This window comes from Homo sapiens, chromosome 1 (assembly GCF_000001405.40).
Source record: "Homo sapiens chromosome 1, GRCh38.p14 Primary Assembly".
NCBI classification, from domain to species: Eukaryota; Metazoa; Chordata; class Mammalia; order Primates; family Hominidae; genus Homo; species Homo sapiens.
In genome coordinates this window covers 214,528,731-214,553,677 of record NC_000001.11, presented here as the reverse complement: position 1 = coordinate 214,553,677, position 24,947 = coordinate 214,528,731, and the positions used below count along the sequence as shown (strand labels likewise).

The 24,947-nt window shown below is 43.4% G+C and overlaps 1 protein-coding gene and 1 pseudogene across 5 annotated transcripts in view, besides 3 other annotated features; one reads left to right on the top strand and one right to left on the bottom strand.

Moving 5' to 3' along the window:
• Positions 950-1,770: an enhancer, noted in NCBI's record as "NANOG-H3K27ac-H3K4me1 hESC enhancer chr1:214725251-214726071 (GRCh37/hg19 assembly coordinates)". NCBI's record gives its function as "activates a minimal SCP1, AML or CMV promoter by ChIP-STARR-seq in primed H9 embryonic stem cells {active_cell/tissue: H9 hESC(primed)}" and the evidence as "EXISTENCE:reporter gene assay evidence [ECO:0000049][PMID:30033119]".
• Positions 1,771-2,591: an enhancer, noted in NCBI's record as "NANOG-H3K27ac-H3K4me1 hESC enhancer chr1:214724430-214725250 (GRCh37/hg19 assembly coordinates)". NCBI's record gives its function as "activates a minimal SCP1, AML or CMV promoter by ChIP-STARR-seq in primed H9 embryonic stem cells {active_cell/tissue: H9 hESC(primed)}" and the evidence as "EXISTENCE:reporter gene assay evidence [ECO:0000049][PMID:30033119]".
• Positions 2,076-24,947, top strand: part of PTPN14 (protein tyrosine phosphatase non-receptor type 14) — a 202,903-nt gene continuing 180,031 nt past the window's right edge. The window contains exons 1-3 of one of the 5 annotated variants that reach the window (XM_024448759.2): positions 2,076-2,495; positions 20,271-20,361; positions 21,152-21,214. The gene's annotated coding sequence lies outside the window, so the exon portion shown is untranslated. Of the gene's footprint in view, positions 2,727-20,270; positions 21,215-24,947 lie in introns of all 5 variants that reach the window. The other 4 variants (XM_017001941.2, XM_047426367.1, NM_005401.5 and 1 more) reach the window with 4 other exon arrangements.
• Positions 2,592-3,413: an enhancer, noted in NCBI's record as "NANOG-H3K27ac-H3K4me1 hESC enhancer chr1:214723608-214724429 (GRCh37/hg19 assembly coordinates)". NCBI's record gives its function as "activates a minimal SCP1, AML or CMV promoter by ChIP-STARR-seq in primed H9 embryonic stem cells {active_cell/tissue: H9 hESC(primed)}" and the evidence as "EXISTENCE:reporter gene assay evidence [ECO:0000049][PMID:30033119]".
• KRT18P12 (keratin 18 pseudogene 12) lies at positions 20,154-21,533 on the bottom strand (annotated as a pseudogene).

The window sequence follows — 24,947 nt, the reverse complement described above, 5'->3', positions numbered from 1 at the left end:
AATATATTTCCTAGTGTCTTTTCACTAGAAAAGACACCAAGCAAGAGGTCTCCCATCTCCCAGGAAAGAGCAAAGGCCAGAGTTTTACATTGAGATCCTGAAGGCATTTTCTTATCTTTAATCCTAATCCTGTTTGGGTCCAATTTCAAAGAGATGAAGAGCATGCACTTTAGGCCTGACAGACTAGGGCCCTGATCATATCTTCCTAGTTGTATGACCCTCAGTGAGACAGGTAATTTCTTCATGCCTCACTTTCCTCATCTAGGAATGGGGGAGTGCTTTCCACACTTTCTGGAACACAGTCAGGCACTGCCTAATGTTTTCTTTGGAAACCCAGCACGTCTGTACAGCTATTTCCTTTAAAATGTGAGAAAGTTGATTTCCCTTCAACCTTTTCTTTCCATCACTTTTGCATTGCACTCGGCGTTTTCTCTAATTTACAGTTCTAGAGATTGGCAGATGCTCGAAGAAAATCAGAGTCACTACGGATTTATTTATTTTATTTTATTTTATTTTATTTTATTTTTTTGAGAGGAGTCTGGCCGTGTAGCCCAGGCTGGAGTGCAGTGGCGCGATCTCGGCTCACTGCAACCTCCGCCTCCCAAGTTCAAGCAATTAACCTGCCTCAGCCCCAGAGTAGCTGGGACTACAGGCGCACGCCGCCACCCCCGAAACATTTTTTGAATTTTAGTAGAGACGGGGTTTCACCGTGTTGCCCGGGCTGGTGTCGAACTTCTGAGCTCAGCCAATCCCCCAGCTTTGGCTTCCCAAAGTGCTGGGATTACAGGTGTGAGCCACCGCGCTTTTTGGTTTCCAATTCTCTTCCCCAAGAGGCCAGGAATTTTTGCATGAGTTGCCGGACACTGAAGTGATTTGGGACAATACATTGTGTGCCAACGACTTCAAGGTCCCTTTTCAACAAAGGACTGGAATCTTACCGAGATAAATCCCAAGACATGTTTGTAGCAATGCAAAGGACCACAGAAATCTAGACAAATTATTTAATTTTGCAGCTACAGAAACCTAGGATCTCAGGGGCTGGGATACTCCTCAGTTATCCAATCGGGCAGGGCCTAAAACCCAGGTTCAGTCGCCTGGCTCCGAGCTTTTTCCATCATACCAGCTGCGTCTCATTAACTCCACCTCCGAAAGTGCTAAGGAAGTTCCCTCCCAGTGCCTACCCAGGCAGGGTGGGGCGATTCTGTGGCATGGAACAAACCGGGAAAACGACATTTTCCAACTCTCAGCACACAGGCTGCTTTTTATCATTCCTACGGGGCGGGAGGGGGCAGGGAGAGAAGGCTAAGACACCGGGTCCAGTACCCAGAGATTCTAGGGAGAGATCTCTGAGATTGCCTACTTGGTGAGGCCACCTTACTTTCTCCTGGTCTGTTTTCCCCTGTGGGGTGGCTGCATGAAACGTCCTGCTTGGAGGGTTCCCCAATATAAGGTGGACTATTCTGAATGTAGGTCGGGGTGAGCAAGTTCCTGCCGCCGCCCCGTCTCTGCGGTCCTCGGAAGTCTAGGTGGGCTCTTCCTTGCCTTGCCTCTTTCTCCCCAACGGCGGGAGCAGCCCAGGGTTGGGGTGGCTGCGGTCGCCTTGCTCTCTCCACTTCCACGTCTCTTACTCCAGGGAGTTTCATCCGGTCCTCCGTCCTCGGCCCCCACCTTTTAAAACATTTTCCAAAACTACCCCATTAAAAGTGTGCGACTTCTCCGGGCCTGCAGAAGGAGCTCCTGCAGCCCGGCATTCCTCGGATTCCAGCGCTGTGACGTCCCCAAGGACGGCGCGCCTCCAGCTCGGGAGCTCGGGAGCTGGGGCTCCACGTTTCAGCGCGCGCCCGCGGCGCCCCCGGCGCGCGCCCTCCCGGGCCGCATTCCTCCCCGCCCCCGGCCGCGCGCCCAGCGCTCCCTCCGCCTCCCGGCCCCCAGGGCCGCGGAGCCCGGCTCTGGGGTGGGGGAGCCGTGGCCGCCGGCGCCTGCTCCGTCCCCTCCCACTCGCACGGCCCCTTCCTCCCTCCTCTCCCGGCCGCTCGCATTTCCTGCCGCTCTGGCTCTCCCGGCCCCTCAAAGTTCTTTCCAACTTTTTCTCGGCGGAGTGAGCGCAGCGGGCGCAGACTCGGGGGCAGGTTGCTGTGCTTCTCCGGGCTCAGCCGCCTGCTCTCCTGGCTCAGGTCCTCGGGGAGCCCTAGACAGACATCAAGTGGCCACTGGCGCTCCTTCCCCTCCCAGCTGAGCCATCCTCCCCGGCCTCCTCGGGCGGGACAGCCCCGTGCTTAGGTTTTTCTCCTTTTCTCCCCCGGTGCGCCTCTGCTCGGACTCTCGCGCCGGGATCGCGGCGGAAACCTCCCTCCCCTTTCGCCTCCTGCGGCTCCTTCCCTTCGCCCCTCCTCCGCCAGTCACTGGAATCAATTCCGTGGGGAATCGGCTCCGCCGCCGCGAAGGACAGCCTTTCCGCGCGGGACTCCGGGGCGCCACGGGGGCCATGTAAGCAGGTAAGCCCCGTCCAAGCCGGGAGTTGGGCCCGAGGTTGGAGGCCGCCTTGGCGCTCCGGGCGCCCTGCAGATGACTTGGGCAGACGCTGGCAACGCCAACTTGCGATTGGCGCCCCGGGACGCCTGGCAGGGCAGCCTGGGGCGCGGGGTGGCCGGGCCGCAGGGGTGTTATCTCGCGGTGGGAGCTGCCCGCGGTGAGGCGCAAAGCTGGTCCCGGGAGCGAGCTGGAAGGTGAGCGCAGTCTGGGGAGTTTGTGGTTAAACCCACACCCTGGTCCCCTCTCTCCATTCCCTTCTGCGTTTTGGGAACGAGAGAGGGCCTCGGAAGGGCAACTAGAGATACCTAGACCTTGGGGGCTAGAGGATGAAAGACGAACGACGTCGCGGTCGCTGCAGCGGTAGGGGGATGCAGCTGCCCGACGCTCCCAATCACACCCCACCACCACCGGGAAGGAATCTTGAGGGGAGCGGAGTTTTCCTGCCCTCTCACTAGGCCCCAGTGGTGCCACCGAACTCCTGGGCGTCGAGGCTCCTACTTGGGTGGTCGAGCTGGCTCGTAGAAAAAAAGCTGTGGCCAAACAATTTCAGATCAGGTCTTCACCTCAAACTTCCAAAGTTGTAGGTATTAACAGCCTCTCCTTCCCCACGTGACCCCCAGATCTCAGGTTTGAATACTTGTAAATGGGGTTTACACCTTTTCGTTTGGAGAGAGCAGTGAGGTAACGCTGCCCCTATCTCCCTTTCCCTCTCACTTCCTTGGGTTCTTGTTCTCCAACCTTCTCATCCCCACCTACAATTTCAGAAATTGTGGGGTTTCCGCTTAAGTCTAGGGACTGGCTGTCGCAGGTTCTTTGTGAAGGTGAGGAATCTCTAGACTGCAGGTGCGGGCAGTTACAGAGTTTCCACCAATGTGTTAACTTCTTGAAATGGATTAGTTTACTCATTCATCCAACAAACCCAGCTTCTACTCTGCTAGGAACAGGATAGAAAGATGCTAAATGAGATCACAGGGCAGGAGTCTGCAGCCTAGTGGAGGAAACTTGAAGGCCGGTGAAGAATGATAATACATGGAAGAGGGGTTCTGTGAGAGTCTGAGGCGAGCTTGGTCCTGGTGAAGGGTGCACTACACTTAGAGGATAGAGGTTGTGCTCCTCTGGAGGGTGTATTCCAGGCAGAGGAAACAGCTCGTGCAGAGTGAACACAAGAAGGACAGAAAGTTTCCCTAGCCATCTGGGGGCCTGAGGGGCATTTATGGCCATGTTGGTGCAGTGTTGCTGGGATAGCATTCTCTCCACCCCCAATATCAGAAATAAATCTAGAAGCACGTTAGCCACTTATGGGAACCACAAGTAGCTTACCGAGGAGCCAAGGCCTCCCTAATTGGATACACCTCCATGCCTGCTGCTGTTTTACCACAAGCAGCTGTTGTATGATCATCTACATTTTAATTGGCCCATGCTCGGTTTCATTAAAATGGTATTGATTCTTCTTTTTTGTCCCCCACATTCAAGCAATGATTCCTTTTTTAAAAAGGCTGTTTGACAGCCGTAGGTGTGGTAATACCGCAGCATTACGGACCTTGTATTATAAAGTTAGCTAATTGTTTGGTGATGAGGTTGAAGCTTGTGCCATAGAAATGACAGCCTTAATGAGCGGGAGCTGAATGGCATGATGCCCTTTTTGCCCAGTCTGAATGGGTGGCCATGAGGTGCAAAATTCGTTCATCTGTATGTCACTAAGTTTGTTATACTTTTCTCTGCTTTTAAGTCATTACTATTGCTTTAGCACAGTTGTGCTAAAGTCGTTCTTTTCTCTGAAACTTTATGAAAATAGAAAACACTATCTTGCACATTTTTGTAGACTAATGGCCCAGGATTCAGCAAATCCTGCCTAGAAAAGTTTCTTACAATGCAGTAGCATTCTGTACGTGGTTTGCCTTTCAAGGGTGTCTCTTCACTGGACTGAAGTGGTGTTGTAGTATTGTTCATAGTGGCTGAGTCCTGGCTGAGGTGGCAGACATCCAGCTTTTGGTGACCTCAGGCCAGTACATCAGAGTGGGAAGAACACACTGACTTCCTACAACTTTGGGTGTTTATCCAAGCCCCTCTACCAGCATCTTTTCTTATCTCAGGAACAGCCCCTTCACAGAAGTTTTCCTGAAGGTGTAGGGACCTGCATGAGAGAAATGGCTGAAGAGAAGCCCACTCCCACTAATCCCAGACATTTGCCCAGTTTCCATCATTGGCTTAAACATGTAATTATTATTAACACTTGAGTTATTCAGATTTGTGCATACTGTGTCATGCTGGTAGCTGTAATAGAAAGGACAGTTAGGCTTTTAATAGGGAAGCACCATAAGGAATTCAGAGAAAAATCAGAATTTTTAGAATAATTCTTATTTGCCCTGAACGGATGGGCTAAGTGTCAAGAACTATGAGGATTTTTTATTTTCCAGTGCCTTCCTTCCTTATTAGAGGTTTAAATTTGCTCCGGGGAAGCAAACATCAACCCTTTGATTACATATTATAGCCCCCCTGGGTTCCATATTCTTGTCATTTTTGAACAAGGATTTCATCAAATTCTTGCATTTGAGCTTCATTACTTAGTCACCAAATGCTGTGTTTTTAAAAAATTCATTTTAAGCCTGAGAACAGTGCTGTGAGCTTTGTTAGAGATAAGGCATGAGAAAGACAAGATGAAATACTTAATTAGCCAATTAAGGAATGAGGGAAAACAAACACGAAAGCTTTGGTAGGGAGGAGGTTCAAGTTAATGTTAAAATACGCTTTTGGATCTCCCCTTACGGATTTAAATTGATTTAATTTACGCTTCCTCTGTATGCATCCCATGGAGGGCTTATTGAGTGGTCCAAGGGGTATGTGTGGCAAATTCTGTAGCTTTTCCTGGCTGTCAGTGTGCTGGAGCAGGCGGTCCAGGTTTGGGAGTTTGAAATATAGCTAGGTTGGAATTCTAGCGCTGCCATTTTTTAGCTGTGTGATGTTGGATGGACGTCATAGCCCTTCTGAGCCTCAGTTTCTTCATCTGCAAAATGGATCTGGTAACATTTGGCCTCTCAGGATATGTATGGAGAATTCAGTGTCATGCTGTATAACAGTACCTCACACAGAATAGGTCAAGGATGGCTATTTATATGTTCAAGGACTTGTATGTGGCCATGAATGTGCTCTTTGTGTGTGATTTTTTTCAGCAGCCTGAATTCACATGTGTGTCAACATACACATAAAGCTTTGTTTTTGACTTTTTTTTTTTTTTCAGTCTATTGGCTCAAAATAAACATGTTGGCTGGCAGCTGCCATGTGGCTCCTCCTACAAGAGGAAATTGAGAGGTGGGGGACCAGGCAGTAGAGAAGTTTGAGGAGGGAAAGCCACTGAGAGATTAGAAGGGCAGAGAACAAGATCCTTTTCCTTGTATACTTCTTACTGTAATGATGGTCCAGTGTTTTATATAAGGATCCTTGTATTTCTAATGTTGAAATCTAGTTGATTAAAGAATGTTAGGATAACTCTGTCTGCCTTTAACTAGAGTACAAAAGCTAGCTGCTGTATCTTTGCAGCCTTGATTTCCCTTTTTGAAGCCCAAATATAAACAGTAAACTGCAACACTTCTAGTGTAATGCCAGCCACTGGTTATTTGAACTTTAATGTTGTCTTTCATCTGAGAAGCCTAGAGTATTTGACAAACGTTAAATCATAGATCTTCGTATCAACCTCAAAGCGGAAGGGAATGTTAGAAGGAATGAACAATGTTAGAACAATGTTAGAAAAAAGGGCAGGTATGCAGCGTGTGTTCTTGAAACAGGATGGCAAAGAATTGGTTAAATCTTTTCTGCAGGATTGCGTGCAGGGCTGGAGATCATATGAAGGTATCCTACCCCTTTGGGGAATCGGGGAGAGAGCCCAGGAAAATGCAGGCCTGACCTGGACTTTTGTAATAGGAGGGGAGAGGAAATGTATCTTGCCCAGACCAGCAGTGCCTTTGCCATATATTGCATGCATGCTGATTATGAAAATAAATAATCTTATAATTATTTATAATTCTGAATTAAAGGATATGATGCAATGCTTGTGGATGAAGGACACAGAGTAGCTGTGTAAAAGGTAATAGTGACTAAGTGCCTTTTTGTGTGATAAGGGTAGTTCTGGCTCTAGGTTGGGTTATAAATGACATATTAACATTGTTTTACTTTCCTTTCCTTTTTCCTGTTGGTTCTGTGTTTCTTGACTTTTCTTCCCCCCTCAAGCTTTTGTTTGATTTTCTTCAGGATCCTTGCAATTGGAAAAAACATTTCATAGCCATTCTTAGATCAACCTTACATGTAAAATTTGATATGTAGTTGATTTAGCTTAGTTTCCTTAGGGGCTAAATTAGGCCCAGGTCAAGAGTTTCATCTTGAGCCTCGTCAATTAGTTTGACCCCGAGGACTACTGCATATCCAGAGAGCCGTAACCCTAGCTGGCCATCCCGTAAATGCTTTATGTTGGTCAATAGGGAGGAGTCTGGTGAGAAAATGAGAAAGGGATCCTTTGGTGATGTAGCATCGTCTCTAAGTAGAAAAATATCCTCTTCACGTTTAGATTGTTTGAGATTTTAGTGCTGAACTGTATTCCTAAGTTAGGAAGCCATACCATGTGGGCCACTGACTTGATCTACTTTGCCTTACAAGTTTTGCGTTCACAGGGAAAAATTACTCACAGTTGAAAATTAGCCACAGTTCCTAATGCATATTTTCGTATGAAATGTGTACTTTATTTCTACTTAATTTCCTTGTGTCTTTGGAAATTCACCTCTGGGGGTTAATTTGTTCACACTACATTCCTCAAGTAATTGGGGCATTAGCCAAGGCAGTAGATTGTCAACCTCCAGTGAGCATCACCTGCAGGGCTTCTTAAACAAAGGTTGCCGTTCCCCATGCCTACCTCGGTTTCTGGATTCAGCACGTTTAAGGTAGGCCTGAGAATTTCCATTTCCAAAGAGCTCCTGGGTGATGCTCTTGGTCCTGACCAACTGCATTTTGAGAAGCACTGAGCTAAGAAGTCTTGCTTGGTTCACCCACCCCTGTTCCTCAGGCTTGGTATGGTGGTCACTTTTTCACTGCACCAGTTTGAATGATTCCATTCCTGGTTGCTTTAGAGCTGCAGAGAGGCTTGGTTAATGGCCTCGTATCCCTAGCCAGGTTCATGTAAAGCACTAATTAGATGTTTCCATGTTGCTGGATCTCCTTGGCTATCGTCTCCAGTCCAGACCTCTCTGCTTGCTACCAAACAGTTGGGTTTATCTGGTGCTTAGATCCATCTGAGTGTCTGCTATACATGCCACATCCTACCTGTCCCAACTTGAACTCTCCAGTTTCTTGTCACAAAATGTGCTGCTTCCAAATTACCTATCTCAGTGACATTGCTATCTATTGAGTTAGCTGCTCAAGCCAGGCATTTGGAGTTTTCTTCAACCTGTCATTCTTAGCACCCTCAATCCCTTTCTCAAACCCCAGTAACAAATCCCATCAGTCATTAGGTCCCTTCGAGTTTGAGTCTGTAAAAGTATTTTCCATTTGCTCCTTTCCCTCCATCCTTACTGGCCTCTTGAGATTGTTCCAAGAGCATTGCTGTGGTTTGAATGTCCCCTCCAAAACTCATGGTAAAATTTGATTGCCATTGTAAACAGTGTTAAAAGGTGGGACCTTTACGAGGTGATTAGGAGGAGCCTTCATGAAGGGATTAATGTCAGATTTGTTATCTCAAGAGTAGATTGTGATAAAGGGAGTCTGGCCCCTGGTACCTTTCTCCATGTTCTGTGCTTGCCTCTACCTTCCACCTTTGCACCATAGGATGACCCTGGCCAAATACCAGCACCATGCTTTTGGACTTTTCCAGCCTCCAGAACTGTGAGCCAAATAAACTTCTGCTCTTTATAAATTACCTAATCTGTGATATTCTGTTATAGCAGCAGAAAATTATTTTTACTCTTTCAGCGCTGCAGAAAGGGTTTTTGATCTCAAATTTTTGAAGATTTTACTTTTTTGAGTACTATTTAATTGTTTTTCCCCTTATGATATGGATTCCTATCTTCTCATACCCATCTGCTGCTCTTTCTCTCTATCTGTGCTAGCGCCCCTAACACTTAGTGGTGTTTAATTCTCTTCTCCTTTGTTACATTCAGACCCAGAGTGGTCTTACCCCTTCCTGCCTGCTTAACCTCTTTGTGGTCAACTAAGGCTCCACCTTCACTCTGCTCCTCCCCACTGAAGCCTTCCTTTCCTTTCCTTTCTTTTCTCTTTCTCACCTCCCCTTCCCTCCTCTTTTTTCTCTCTCACCTCCTCTTCCCTCCTCTTTTTTCTCTCTTACCTCCTCTTCCCTCCTCTTTTTTCTCTCTGTCTCTTTCTTCTGTTCCCTTCTTTTTTTTCTTTCTCGTTTTGAGATGGAGTCTCGCTCTGTCTTCCAGGCTGGAGTGCAGTGGTGCTATCTCGGCTCACTGCAACCTCCACCTCCCAGGTTCAAGCGATTCTCCTACCTCAGCCTCCTGAGTAGCTGGGATTACAGGCATACAGCCACCACACCTGGCTAATTTTTAAATTTTTAGTAGAGATGGGGTTTTGCTGTGTTGGCCAGGCTGGTCTCGAACTCCTGACCTCAGGTGATCCTCCCACCTTGGCCTCCCAAAGGGTTGGGATTACAGGCGTGAGCCACTGAGCCCAGCCTTTCTTTTCTTTCTCGTTCTTTTCTTTTCCTTCTTTCTTTGACAGGGTTTTACCCTGTCACCAAGGCTGGAGTGCAGTGGGGTGATCATGGCTTACTGTACCTTGACCTCCTGGATTTAAGTGATCCTCCTACCTCAGCCTCTCAAGTAGCTGGGACCACAGGTGCCAGCCACCTTGCCTGGCTAATTTTTAAAAAATTTTTGTACAGATGGAGTCTCCCTATGTTCAAACCCAGGCTGGTCCTGAACTCCTGGGCTCAAGCGATCCTCCTACTTTGGCTTCCCAAAGTATTGGGATTCCAGGCGTGGGCCCCTGTGCCCAGCCCATTCTTTTCTTTATAGTCCCATAGCACTTTGAAATTACCAGCATTAGTAAGTTTACCATATTATGCTTGTTTACCTTCCTATCTCCTCTACTAAGTTACAAGCCTCTCTGGTAGGGATCTTATTCAGTTCATCTTAGGTGGAGGTTGGGTAGCCATAGCCATGATGACGATGATGTTGCCATTTTGCAGATAATGAATTGGAGTTGATTATTTTTTAAAAGTGTGGCCGGGCGCAGTGGCTCACGCCTGTAATCCCAGGATTTTGGGAGGCTGAGGCAAGGGGATAATGAGGTCAAGAGATCGAGACCATCCTGGCCAACATAGTAATAACCCCCGTCTCTACTAAAAGTACAAAAATTAGCTGGGCATGGTGGCGTGCACCTGTAGTCCCAGCTACTCAGGAGAATCACTTGAACCCAGGAGGCGGAGGTTGCAGTGAGCTGAGATGGCACCACTGCACACCAGCCTGGGAGACAGAGCGAGACTCCATCTAAAAAAAAAAAACGTGTTATAGAATCAGTGAATGAATGCATTTCTGAAATGCTGACCTGAGGGATAAGAGCTCAGCCTAGTTTGTGATTTATTATTTATTCTTTGATAAATAATTACTATGCTCTGGGAAAATTACATCTTGTTAATGACTATATGTAATTTTTAAAAATTAAACAGATATCAGTATGTATTATACATATCTTATTATCTTTGTTCATTTGAGGAGACAAATTCCATTTTTAAGCTATTTTCTGAAGTTACTCATACTATGGTTCTTAATATTTTGCTATACTTGGATACTTAAAAAACATGGTAATTTTTCCTCTCATTTTCAAGTCTAGGAAATGTTGTAGATCATGGGAGAATAAATATCACTGAAGGGTTAGGAAGGAGGAACATCTCAGGGTTAAGATATAAACCTTTCAGGTTTGGATTTACCGATTAGAATATGCTTAGTTTCCGTCCTATGCATTATTGTCTTTTGTATCATATAGAAAAGAGAAAAAGGCAGAATACCCCATTATTCAAACTCAAAGTTACTAGTTTTTACAGTGAGAGAAAGTTGGAGAGACCCTATGACACCATGTCAAGGCAGATTTGCCAGCTCACGCATATCCAAGACAGCCTGTTCTACTTATGGAACTATAATAAGCAGCAGTGATATCATTGATATTCCCCCCCAAATCACAAGCTTGGCTCTCACCGTTATTTTAGCTCCTAAGTCAACGGGATTAAGGCAGATTTCATGGTCATGAAAGTGAATTTGTCATGAATTACGTATATACTTCAGCTTGATGTTTAAGGTTCTCCACAAATGATTCCCACGTGGGCGTCTGATTTCTTCAGATTTATGTCCCACTATTCCTCAGGGTTATGCCAAACTGCAGGTGTTTCCTGAACAGGCCCAGTCATTTTCCACCTAATGTTGTGCTGTTTCCTTGCCTAAAAATCCTAACACTCATCATTGCCTATCAAAACCATCCCTCCAAGCCCTCCTTCAATACCACTTTCTCTGGGCAGCCTTCCCTAATCTCTCTCTGGGTCAGGCCCTCTTGCCATTCTGGCCTTGGCATTGACCTCACTGTGCCCTGTGTCCTGGTTAACCTACCTCACCCCCTCACTGGCCTGTCAGCTGCCTGGGAACTGCCACTGCTTCACTCCCCCATGTCCCTGCCTGTAACTGTCCATGCAGGTCTGCCTTCCCCTTGCCCAAGAATGCCCTGTGAGGCTGAGGCTGCCCCCCCGCGTCATTATGACAGACACCTGTTGTGGCACCACTTTGTGTATGCTGTCCCCTCTCTTGGTGCGGGCACCAGTCTCCCTTCTATGCTAGAGTCTTTTCTAAGGTATGTCTGATATTTTCGCTCTCCTGCTTAAAATCTTTCTTGCCACCATATATTGTTTACACATATACACAGGCACACACATACACATTTTCTTTATACCTTTACTACATATATACATGCATACTATATGTGTGTGTACATATAACATACATACTATATGTGTGTGTACATATAACATACATACATATATATGTGTGTGTGTGTAGTAAAAGTATAAGGAAATACCAGAAGGATAAACACAAAAGACAGGGTATGGTGAGCAGGGGTGGAGGTGAGGACAGACATGTGATACTGTTTTGTTTCCTAAGCTGAGTGATGGAAACGTGTGTTTATTACATTCTCCCTTCTAAAATATTTCATTTAAAAACTGCTTATGATTAAAGTACACACTCTCTAGCAGAGCACTCAAGGCTCTGCACAGCTCTTTTTTAAAAATGTAAACAGAAAGTCTCATTTATTTTTGTCTGAAGCACACAGGAGCTCACTCAGCACAATACAATAAGCGAATCATACAAATATTGAGAAAAAATATTCCCATGAATACATATGTATATATTCTTAAGAGCAGCAATCAGGAGTTTAACAACAATGTAAAGTGGTTTTCTCTAAATAATGCTTTCTGATGGGCTTTTGGGTAGGAAATGGACAGGTAAATCACCATCACGTAACAGATGAGCTAAGAATAACATCTGTTACCCAAGTCACTGGAACCCTGTGGCCTGCGAAAGCCCTCTTGGAGTTTACATTTAATTCCGTCATTGGCCTGGTTGACTTCCACATTTCACTAAATTTGGACAAGATCAAGAAACTAACCCCTCAACTCTCAATCTCTCATACTCAGGGATGTGGGAGGGAAGGGCAGGTGAGATCAGGTGTGAACACAGTCAGGGCTCTGCATAGCTCTTGATCACACCTAACTTCCTAGCCTTGTCTGGCCTCTCCCCTAAACATCTCTTGGCTCCCTGTGAACCTTCTCCAAACATTTCTCAGGGTTGAAACCTTGTTGCTTTGACTTATGCTGTTATTGTTACTTTCTGCCCCCACTGCAATTCTTTTTTACATCTGATCACATAATCTCTTTCTGATTCTTTAATGTGTATATGATTTTTATGTCCTTTTTGGAGGTTTTATCTGATGTTCCCTTTTTATTATTAGGGATAATAATATCCCTAATAATAGTTATATTATCATTGCCATCTTCTCTGCCTTCCTATAATACTGTACTGTTTGCTTATTTTCACACCTTTGGAGACATATTTTGTAATTTATTTATACTTGGGTTTATGGCATCTGATGCAGAGTACATGTTCAATAAATGTTTAGGGAATTGATGAGTAATAGATGTAAGAGAAATGTTTCTAATTGAAGTAATTTTTTTAAGAGTGTGTCCAAAAAAACTTCAAAACAAATTGAAAGGAATATTTCTTGGGTTCAATATCTGAAATTTTGTTTGTAAATCTAATGGATTTACACATGGATTTCCTAGCTCTAACCCATGATTTGTATTAGATACTCTTCTTCTGCTTTTCCCATTTGCTTTATGGTGGTGGATTTTTTTTTTAAATAAATAAATAGCTGTTCACGCTCCTCGTCCTTTCTTTTCCCCCATCACCATGGAGTAGCTTCATGGTTGCTGTAGTAGTATCTGTGGACGTGTGTGAGTCCCAGTTGGGAAGTAGCTCTAGGCTGTGAAGTGGTACCACTTGTACAGAGTGATTTCTGCCATCAGCGCTGCTTGCTCTGGGGTGGAGAAGTGACACCTCCATTTAGAGGAGAAGCTGCAGTTTATTTTTGTGGCAGATGTGTCCCACTGAAGAGCTGTAATAACCATAATAAAGGAGGATTATGCCGTATTAGGTTTATGAAGGGTGCACCAGTCTGTTTCTAGGGTCAGTGGTGACAGCTCAAGCCAGCAATTAGGTTTCATTTAAGACTCCAGGAGGCAATTAGCATTCCCTTCTGCCCAGGAAATACTGTGATCTATTAGGCCTATTCTTTTGCATTATACATTTTGTAAAATGTGCTTTAAATGATGAAGGTACACATTTTTTGACACATAAGCAAGTCTTCAATTTATCATTTGAAAAATGGGGCTGACTTTTAGACTCCCTGTGTGTTTAAATCCGTGGGTTATAATGACTAACATCCTGGGTGGATTGTGCTTTTTAAATCAGTACATTTTTAAAAGATCATATATATTCTTTTATTCAAAGGTAAGGAATTTCTTATGGAATATTATATAATTATGTGATTTATGAGGGGAAAAATGGGACTGATGTGAAACAAATTAAAACTCCAAAATAATGAAATGACATCTACCAGTCTTAATTATATTCTTTAGAAAATTATTGTTTTACCTAAGAAGTGTCTAAAAATAAAGGCTGGGGAGGATGATTTGTGCAGTGCTTCTGCTGAGCAGCTGTTTGGTTGTTCCTAAAATGAGGCACGTTTTCTGAGTGCCAGGTTAGGTATGAGTGTGTACTTTGTGCCCCTTCATCCTTATGAATGTGTTTAGGAATTTTAGCTTTGCCCGTGAATATGCACTAATATTTAGTAGTTATTCAAACTGCTTTCCTCCCTCCTCCTCTCTTCCCTCCTCCCTCTTCTTTATTGCCTTTCTCACTCCTCCCTCCTCCTTCTTCCCTTCCTTCCTTTGGAATAAATTAGCTCAAATAATAGTAAATTATTCCTTTGGAATAAATTAGTTTGGAGGATTCTGATAGATTAATTACCGTATATGTATTCAACATTAATATCTTTTTGGGTATGATAAAAGAGAATGCACAGTGAGCAGCACATCAGGCCAGAAGTGCAAAGACCACCTATTTCCATGGGGCAATTAGGCTATCTCCTTATTGTTTGGTTCTTGGTTTACATTTTTTTCTCATTTGTAGATGATAAAACTATAATAGTGACTGAGCTCAGTACTTTGAAATCTGTGTGTGTTGACATTAAAGGCTCTGAGAAGTCTTGCAGTAAATGAAAATGTTTCAAAGCTAAATTCATTTTAGTAAGAATCTTTTAAAAAAAATCTATGTTATGGAACACCTGTAATATGGAAGGGCACTAATAGTAAATGGAATACCTACCAGAGAAATCTTGGTTTAGAAGTTACCTGGATAGAGAAGACATGTTTGTGGTCTTTAAGAAACTCAACATCTAATTTAGACCATGTAGTGGCTTGGATCGTTAAAATGATTAAACATTTAAAGTCATCATTAGCAGACCAGAACTAACTTTAATTTTTTAAATAGCTAGACTTTTGTGTTTTGTAGCACATAACAAGAGCAAATTCAAAGCAAAATATCAGGAATTATTCACAAAATCAATTTTCAAGAAAAGTTTAAAGAGCAGTAGGCATTTAGTTTAATGTCTTTATAGTACATTGAAGAGTAACGTTCAGTTTAAATTTGAGACACTGAGAATCTCATCCTTCAAAGAAAAATTCAGATATATCCATTTGGCTTATGGAGGCTAGAAAATGTGGTTAATATTAATATATACAGTACGGAAAAATCTTTGTTCTGCAAATTCTGGCCTTCTGCCCTCTGTCTCCCCCACTTACTTAGTTAGAATACTGCCAAGAAGCAAGCAAGCAAGCAGGCTGGGGAGTTGTAAGCCACTGAGAGCTTTAGAAATGCCATTGCAATTATTTTATTAATAGCTGCCTCTGTTCAAATTGTTTTGTGTAATTGGGCACGTAACAGGCATTGTGAATATAAATAATATGAACAGCTTTTCTCCACCATGGCCTCTTTACTTATGTCAAGCTAATTTGCTCAGTATTCTCTTCATCGGTTTTCCCCACTCCTATCTTTGGCCTTTTATACAGCAGAGCTTTATGTATAGAAACCCCCTTTCTGCTATAACCTTTAAACTTGTAACAACATTATGAAGGAGATGTTATTTTTATCTATAGTTTATCCTTGAGAAATGTGAGAATTAAAGAAGTTATTTGCTCAGCTCTCACAGCTAGTAAGTGGAGTAAGTGGCATGTGAACCCGTTCTCTCTGATTCCACAGCCCAAGTTCTTAACCACCACGTTAGGCTCAGAAGTCTGTGTAGGTCAAGTACATGTGTTCCTTCCTCCTTCCATTCATTCTTTCCTTTTGTCTATCCACCAGCTTGTTTAATAAATGCATTTTGATGTTTTCGAAAGTGGAGATGTTTTTCTGTGGTCATAATCTTGAAAAGAATCAGCAACTAATAACGTAGCCTTTAGCCCCATGTGGCTGTTTAGCATTTGAAATGTGGCTAGTCTGAGTTGGGATATTGCTGTCAGTGTCAAATACACATGGGACCTTGAAGACTTGTTATCAAAAAAAAGTAAAATATCTCATAATTTTTTATTTATTATATGTTGACATAATATTTTGTGTATATTGAGATAAATCTGTTGTCAAAATTAATTTCACCTGTCTTGATTTACTTTTGTATGTGACTACAAGGGAATCAACAATTACATAGGTGGCTTGCATTTATGGATCACATTATATTTCTTTTGGACAGCACCGTCATAGATGGTTATCAAACTACTCTTAGGAGCCCTAGTTCTTCAGTGATGCCTAAGAGGACTGAAGGAAAAGTAGTTAGAGACAGAAAGTAAAAGTAGTTATAGGTGATGGTAAAATGTAAGCCTGATGACACCTTAGATGACCAGCAGAGAGAGACTGATATTAATTGGCCTTTAGTTAGTATAGTACTTACCGTGTGCAAGTGCTTTGTCCAGTGGATTATCTTTCTTGATCCTTACGGCAACCCTGTGAAGTAAGCACTATCTTTGGCCTATTGTAGATGAGACAACTCGGGCTTAGAAAGGCTAAGTAACTTGCACAAGATCCTACAGCTGGTAAATAAATACTGGTTTACTATGTAACATCATGGCATGCAAATACTAGTGAATGATGGAGCCTAGTGTCAAATCTGGGCATGAATCCAGAGCTTGTGCTTGTATCCACTCTTCATCACCACTTCTCAAAGGCAAAAAGGAAAACGTTACCTAGACCTGATCTGCAGCAGCCCTTCTGCTCATTAGTATCTACCGGGGGTACCCATTATTTTCCCTAGCAGTGAAAGGTATCATCTTTAAACTAGGGAATATAGTAAAAACCATTGATGTTCCAGGAATGAGCTCAAGTTATCAGGAAATGATAAAAATCAAACTGGATGTGCTTCGTTTACTAACTCAAGGTTGTCCTAATTAGAAAGATATTTAAAATAAATTGTTTTTAGAAACTTGAAGCATACCAGATTCTTTTGTAACTGAGAGACGTGGGTATATTTCATAGCAAGTACAGATTTTGTAAATACAAATATTAGACATTTTTTCTCTCAGTGTACCAACATGTTTAAAAAATTGGTATAAACTTAGCCACAAACCTATGACCAGCTATTTAAAAATTTTTTGATGTTTTTTATAGGTTGGCGCAAAAGTAATCACAGTTTTTGCTATTAAAAGTAATGGCAAAACCCACAATTACTTTGACATCAACCTAATAGTTAATGTTCATGTGTAGACATAATTTCATACTTGTAATTTTATATACTCCTTCATAATCTATACATAATTTCTGTATTTTTTTATTTTTTTGAGACAAGATCTTGAGATCTTCCTACCTCAGCCTCCTGAGTAGCTAGGAATACAGGCATGTGGTACCATGCCCAGCTAATTTTTTATTTTTTTGTAGAGACAGGGTATCACTAGGTTACGCAAGCTGGTCTCGAACTCTTGGGCTCAAGTGATCCTCCCGCCTCAGCTTCCCAAAGTGCTGGGATTATAGGTGTGAGCCACCATGCCCAGCTAACTTGTAGTCTTAATAACTAATATTTGTAGTATCTTTACAATTGATATACTATAAATCCTCTTAATATTTTTTAAAAAACTAATTAATTTTTTAAAGACAAGGTCTTGCTCTGTTGCCCAGGCTGGAGTGCAGTGGTGTGATTATAGCTCACTGCAACCTTGAATTCCTGGGCTCAAGCAATCCTTCCACCTCAGCCTCCTAAGTAGCTAAGACCATAGGTGTATGCCAACATCCTGTGCCAAATTTTTTTATTTTTCATAGTTATGGGTTTCATCATGTTGCCCAGGCTGGTCTCGAACTCCTGGCCCCAAGTTATCTCCCCCACCCCCACCCCACCCCGGCCTTGGCCTTCCAAAATTCTGGGATTATAGGTGTGAGCTACTGTACCTGGCCTTTTTTTGTTGTTGTTATTATTGAAAGCATGCACATTTTACATTTCTTGCTATCGCATAGAAGATGATAGTGAAAATGATTCACATTAATACTTTTTTTGCTGTTGAATTTATTTTAGGATTAATTATGAGTGAGATTGATATAGTGAACATTTTTGTGATTCTTGAATCATACAGATGCAATGGAATTTCTAATGTAGGTCATAAAGATAAATTCAGTGGTAACACAGCTTTACCCTCATATAGGTGAGGGTCTTTGAGATCTTGCTTTCACACAATGTTTGATGACAAGGAAGTGGATTATCTCAGCAAATCCTTTTTTTTTTTTTTGAGATGGAGTCTTGCTCTGTTGCCCAGACTGGAGTGCAATGGCATGATCTTGGCTCACTGCAACCTCCGCTTCCCAGGTTCAAGCAATTCTCCTGCCTCAACCTCCTAAGTAGCTGGGATTACCGGCATGCGCCACCAGGCCCGGCTAATTTTTGTATTTTTTAGTAGAGATGGGGTTTCACTATATTGGCCAGGCTGGTCTCCAATTTCTGACATCAGGTGATCTGCCCTCCTCAGCCTCCCAAAGTTCTGGGATTACAGGTGTGAGCCACCATGCCCAGCCCAGCAAACACTTTCTTCTAACTCTTGCTTTTGTCTGTTTTTTACAGTTGCCTTCTTTATAATCTGACAAAAGAATTGTTGAACCCTAAATCGTACATGTGAAAGGTTGAATAATAACCTTTGCACTAGATTTACTTTTGCCATAAGTGTTCACTAATCTTTATGTCATTGAAGCAGACAAAGCGTGTTGGATAGAAATATTTCTGTTATGAATATGGTATGTACAGAATTGTTGAAAAATATATTTATAAAGAGGTAGCATCTAAATGAGAATGAAAAGATGTGGCGATATAGATGTAGGTGCAGATGAAGTATAAACAGATACTTCATTGACAAAAATAATTATAAATGATTATATCATTTTCAATTAATTTCTGGTACTCATTGGCTTGCCTTATATCGATATCTTTTGTGTCTACCTATTTTTTATTTACTTTTTCATGACCTTTTTTCAAATATATGTTTGCTATATCCGCTACTATATAACTTGTCATGTTTTGATGAGAAGTTATTGTCATCAAAGAGTGGTAGTGTAATGAGAAGCATGTAACGTCATTGAAAGCTGTTGTGCGAGGGGATGGTGAATAGGTTGTCTCTTCACATCCCATTGGCCAAAGTATATCACATGACCAAGCCAAGACTCACTGGGTTGAGGACTTCCACTCATCCCACATGATTCCCAGGCAAGTCACAGGGAACTGGATGGGATATCTTATAGGAAGGGAGCAAAGATTCGGGATCAATAATTCCGTCTTTTATTTATTTATTTATTTATTTATTTATTGAGAAGGAGTCTTGCTTTGTTGCCCAGGCTGGAGTGCAGTGGCGCGGTCTTGGCTCACTGCAAGCTCCGCCTCCCACATTCACGCCATTCTCCTGCCTCAGCCACCCAAGTAGCTGGGACCACAGGCACCCACCACCATGCCCGGCTAGTTTTTTGTATTTTTAGTAGAGACGGGGTTTCACCGTGTTAGCCAGGATGGTCTCGATCTCCTGACCTCGTGATCCGCCCGCCTCGGCCTCCCAAAGTGCTGGGATTACAGGCTTGAGCCACCGCGCCCGGCCAATAACGTCTTTTATTATACCACGATTGGTTATTTAACCATTCTCTTGTGGCTTGATACTCAGATTTTCCCCAATTTTAACTATTACAAAAAGTATCACTATAAACATAGATGAACAAATTACATTTATTTTACTTGGAGAGTTCTTCATTAGGGTTTAGTTTCCAAGGTAGGTTCTGTGGGTTAGAGGCAAGAATTGCTTGTAGATCTTGTTACATATGGCCAGATTGCTCCCTGGAAAAACTATCAGCTTATAGCAGCATCATCAATCTTTAAGTTTACAACTTTCCTCACATCCTGCTAGTGCTGGGTTTTGAAATTTTCATTTTGTTGATTTCATAATTGCTTACCATTTAATTTTTGTAATTACGAATGATGGTATTTAAAAAATATTTAGAACTAATTCTATTGTTATTGATCTATTACATTGAGTAAAACAAGAGCCACTTATAATTTTCTTACCTTGTTTTGAAAGTCATTAAAAAATACAAAAACACAACTCATTTTCATCCTCCTTGTTTTCTTGGCCCCATATTTTTCTCAGTATACTACTTTTTTTTTTCTTTTTCTCTCTCTTTTTTTTTTTTTTGTTTTTTGAGACGGAGTCTCACTCTGTCGCCCAGGCTGGAGTGCAGTGGGACAATCTCGGCTCACTGCAAGCTCCGCCTCCCGGGTTCACGCCATTCTCCCGCCTCAGTCTCCAGATTATTTGGGACTACAGGCGCCCGCCACCACGCCCGGCTAATTTTTTGTTTTTGTATTTTTAGTAGAGATGGGGTTTCACCGTGTTAGCCAGGATGGTCTTGATTTCCTGACCTCGTGATCTGCCCGCCTCGGCCTCCCAAAGTGCTGGGATTACAGGCGTGAGCCACCGCACCCAGCCTTTTTTTTTTTTTTTATTTAAACCGCTGAACTTTTTATTGGCCTCCTGCTCCCCAAAGGGTACCCTGCTTCTGCTGGCTTAATGTCTCAGAACTTTAGTGTCGTTGGACTGAGACACCACTTTGCCACTCACTTTGCGGCAGGTGGTGGTCTTTTGAATGGTTTGCGTGGAGTTGCTGCTGTCCATCACCAAGATTGAAGATTGAAGTCCTCACCGTCTTCCAGCAGGCAGCGGTAGGTGGTGACCCTAGCCTCCAGCTTGGCCTTGATGTTCAGCAGGGCCTCGCACTCCTGGGCTTGGTGTTGCGCCTCTTCCTGGGTCTGGGCCAGCCCTGACGCCAGGTGCAGCAGGATCTCGTTGAGCTGCTCCATCTGCAGGGTGTAGCGGACCTCCACCTCCCTCAGGCTGTTCTCCAAGCTGGCCTTCAGATTTTTCATGGAGTCCAGGTCGATCTCCAAGGACTGGACCGTACGTCCCAGCTCCGTGAGTGTCATCTCAGCAGCTCCAACCTGGGCGGACTGGGTGGTGACCACTGTGGTGCTCTCCTCAGTCCGCTCAGACCAGCACTTGTCCAGCTCCTCTCGGTTCTTCCGAGCCAGCTTGTCATATTGGGCCCAGATGTCTGCCATGATCGTGGCGAGGTCCTGAGATTTGGGGGCATCAACCTCCATGGTCAACCCAGAGCTGGCAATCTGGGCTTGTAGGCCTTTTAGTTCATCTTTGTGGTTCTTCATGAAGAGCAGCTCCTCCTTGAGAGCCTCGATCTCTGTCTCCAGCTGTGGCCAAGTGACATTGGTGTCATCAGTGACCTTGCAGAGCCCGTAATGCTGCTCTCCACAGACTGGCGCCTGAGAGTCTGTCTCATACTTGACTCTAAAGTCATCAGCAGCAAGATGGGCATTGTCAGTCTGCAGAACGATGCAGGCATTGTCCACAGTATTTGCTAAGATCTGAGCCCTCAGGTCCTCGATGATCTTGAAGTAATGGCCCCCAGTCTCTGACCTGGGGTCCCTTCTTCTCCAGGTGCTCCCAGATTTTGCTCTCCAGCCTCCAGTTCTCGATCTCCAGGCTCCTCAGTCTGTCCAGGTAGGAGGCCAGGTGGTCTTTCAGGCTTTGCATGGTCTCCTTCTCGTTCTGGATGCCTCCTATTCCTGCCAGGCCCCCAGCCATCCCTGCGGCCAGGCCCCGGGACCCCAAGCCATCCCAGAAGCTGGTGTAGCAGGACACGGAGATCTGGAAACCAGAGCCCCTGGCACGTGCATAGGCTCTGGCCACGCTGTTGACCAGCTGGGCGGCTGGACAGAGCCCAGGGACCAGTAATTGGTGGAGAAGTTGGAGCAAGTGGTGAAACTCATGCTGTCTGGGGAGGAGAACGAGAGGACAGGACCCAGGCTTTGCCAACGACCTCAGTATACTACTACTTCAATACATATTTATTCTGACATTAAAATAAGACAGTGAAAAAGTAAAAACAAAACATACTTGATACAAGGTTTTATAACTTTTATCTCAATCAAATCATAGTAATTATCACTACAGAATTGAACAAGTGGTCAAACCTGCTCAGATTGCTGAGTTTTGTTTCATATTTTAAAGTCTTAGGAGGGAATTTATTTATTGCCCTGTTGCCTAATATTGGATGGCTTTAATTCCATGGTTTTCAGAATTGCCTATTGCCATATGGTTTACATACAAAATACCACCTGAAACATAAGAACGGGTCTTTCCTACGGCTTTCCCCCCACAAACTGTAAATGAAAACTTTTTATTACTGACTGTATCCTCTCATTTGGTTTAACTTACAAGTGTCATGTTGCCTGCTGTTACACTTGTCTTTGGCGTCTGCTCAGAAATAATGGTGTCTAGACAGACCCATAAATATCCTGGGTTATAGTTCCTCATTTAAGGCTCTGAGACTTCACAGCAGGGGCAAGAAGACTTGCAGGGCAGATACGAGAAATCTTCAGGCCACTTAATTCAGAGTCCATTGGCAGAATAGGCAGAGAATGTGTGTGTGTGTGTGTGTGTGTGTGTGTGTGTGTGTGTGTGTTAGGCTGGGTTGTAGAGATGGGTTTTGGAAATGATAGTTGGGTCTTGAAACTACTATTGGAGTGCAAATGCCTCCTCCCTCATTTGGCGGAGAAACGTCAAAAATCCTCAGAACGGAAGAATCCATTCTCTTTATTTTGGGACACAGCCTGGTAAAACTTGTAAGAAATTATGACAGCTCTGTGGGAAGCAAGTGCAAGTGTGGGAGAAGCAAGTTGATGTGTGAAGCAGACATCAGTGTGTGAACCAGAGTTTATTTGAACAGTAGTAGTTGCTGGTGGCAGAATGTTAAAAATGTGAGTATTAAGAGTATTAATGATGTGACTATTAAGACTTGGATTAGTGTTGAAGAAATGTGAACTTGAATAGATTTGCTATGAAAGTCTTCGGATTTTTTTTCCTGTAATGGATTTTATTTCAATTTCAGTTCACTTTATATGAGTCTCCCTGGAATTCATTGCAAATTTCTTTTGAAAGGTAAGGACCCGTTTGTTTATGAAGTTTTGATTTTTTAGGAGGTAAATATTTGAGGCAAAGTTGGTACTGAGGTTCAGAGTAAATGGGAATGAGGATGTTTTATATTAATATAGAAGTTAAGTAATTACAGAGAAAAGCTTTTAAAAATTAGTGCAGTAAAATAGGGTGCTTGTTTATATTGAATTGTTAGATATCTTGGCTGAATTTATAAAAAGAAGGTTACTACTGAACTCTTAAAAGGTTATCGTACTCGTCGTAAATATTTTCGTAAACTGCTAATAGTTTTGACAACAAAAGGAGTGCTTATCTTTGGAATATATTCTCCTTCACTGAATTATTTATTTTGGAAGAGTTGAGGCTAAGGGTGTAAAATATATTATAGAGCCAGGCATCATGGTGCACGCCTGTGATTCCAGCACTTAGGGAGGTCAGTGTGGGTGGATTGCTTGAGCCCAGGAGTTCGAGACCAGCCTGGGCAACATGGTGAAACCCCGTCTCTACAAAAAATACAAAAAGTAGCCAGGCATGGTGGTGCACCCCTGTAGTCCCAGCTTCTTTGGAGACTGAGGTGGGAGGATTGCTTGAGCCTTGGAGGCAGAGGTTGCTATAAGCTGAGATCCTACCACTGATGCACACCAGCCTGGGTGACCGAAGGAGACCCTGTCTCAAAAAAAAAAAAAAAAAAAGAAAAGAAAAGAAAAAAGAAAGTATTATAGATTTTTAGAGCTTTTTGGTTAGGGGTTGATCACTTATGGGACCCCACACTGTGTTGCCCTCAAAGAGTTACTGTTACCATGTTCACTCCCTAATACTTTCTCCTTGCATTTTCCTTCCATTCCTTTTTTCTTCCCTCCTAGCCTGAATGTTGGCCTACTAGTGAAATCTGCTTATGGCCTAACCTGATGGGTAATTAACAGACAATATGTTGTAGTTGTTGACCTAAGAAGGCCTGAGACTATTAGTCTGTTTTAACATACCTGCATCTATGAGGTATCTGTAGTCAGCTCTGTTTTTCTTAAGTAGAGGTTTATCCATTACCAACAGTGAATGTTCAATGCAAGGAATAGCTTTTTAAAACATATGGCAAATTTGTGGTTCTTTAGAATCCATTGTCATATAGTGGTTAATATATATATATATTTTTTTGAGACACACTCTTTCGCCCAGGCTAGAGTGCAGTGGTGCCACTTCGGCTCACTGCAACCTCCACCTCCCAGGTTCAAGCGATTCTCATGCTTCAGCCTTCCAAGTAGTTGAGACTACAGGCATGTGCCACCATGCCCGGCTAATTTTTATATTCTTAGTAGAGATGGGGTTTTGCCATGTTGGCCAGGCTGGTCTCAAACTCCTGGCGTCAAGTGATCTGCCTGCCTCAGTCTCCCAAAGTGCTGGGACTACAGGCATGAGCCACCGTCCCCAGCACATGTTTGTTGATGTCCACAAGTTGTTAGAGGTTGTTTATAAGGAGGATGGTAGCCAAAACTGTTAATTTCTCCCATGTCTCTGTAGAAGGAAAACCTGTGCAGCACGCTCTATTTTGCTAGTGTACTCAGTTGTCAAATAGATAGCCAACTTGTGTGTGACCAATCGTCTTTTCTCCTTCACTCTGCTGCTTTGAAGACCTTGGTCTCTGAAACACATACTTTTGGTCAGGTATCTATGACCATAGAGATTAGGACCCATCTTCTTGACTTTTTTTGGCAGAGAGACAGTGTCTCACTCTGTCATGCCCAGGCTAGAGTATAGTGGTGTGATCACAGTTCACTGCAGCCTCAAACTCCTGGGCTTAAGTGATCCTCCCACCTCAGCTTCCTGTGTATCTGGGGCTACAGACATGCGCCACCACACACAGCTAAATTTTTTAATTTTAATTTTTATTTTTTGGTAGAGATGAAGATCTTGCTATATCCCCAGGCTGGTCTCAAACTCCTGGCTTCAAGTAATTTTCCCACCTTGGCCTCCCAAAGTCTTAGAGCTACAGGTGTGAGCCACCATACCCGGCCCCATCTTCTTGACTTACATAGGCTGTGGGTATCATCAAGCTAAAGCCCATTTTTTAAAACAACCATACCTCAATTCTTTTTTTTTTTTTTGAGATGGAGTCTTGCTCTGTCACCCAGGCTGGAGTGCAGTGGCATGATCTCGGCTCACTGCAACCTCCACCTCCCAGATTTAAGTGATTCTTGTGCCTCAGTCTCCTGAGTAGCTGGGATTATAGGCATATACCACCATGCCTGGCTAATTTTTGTATTTTTAGTAGAGATGGAGTTTCACCATATTGGCCAAACTGGTC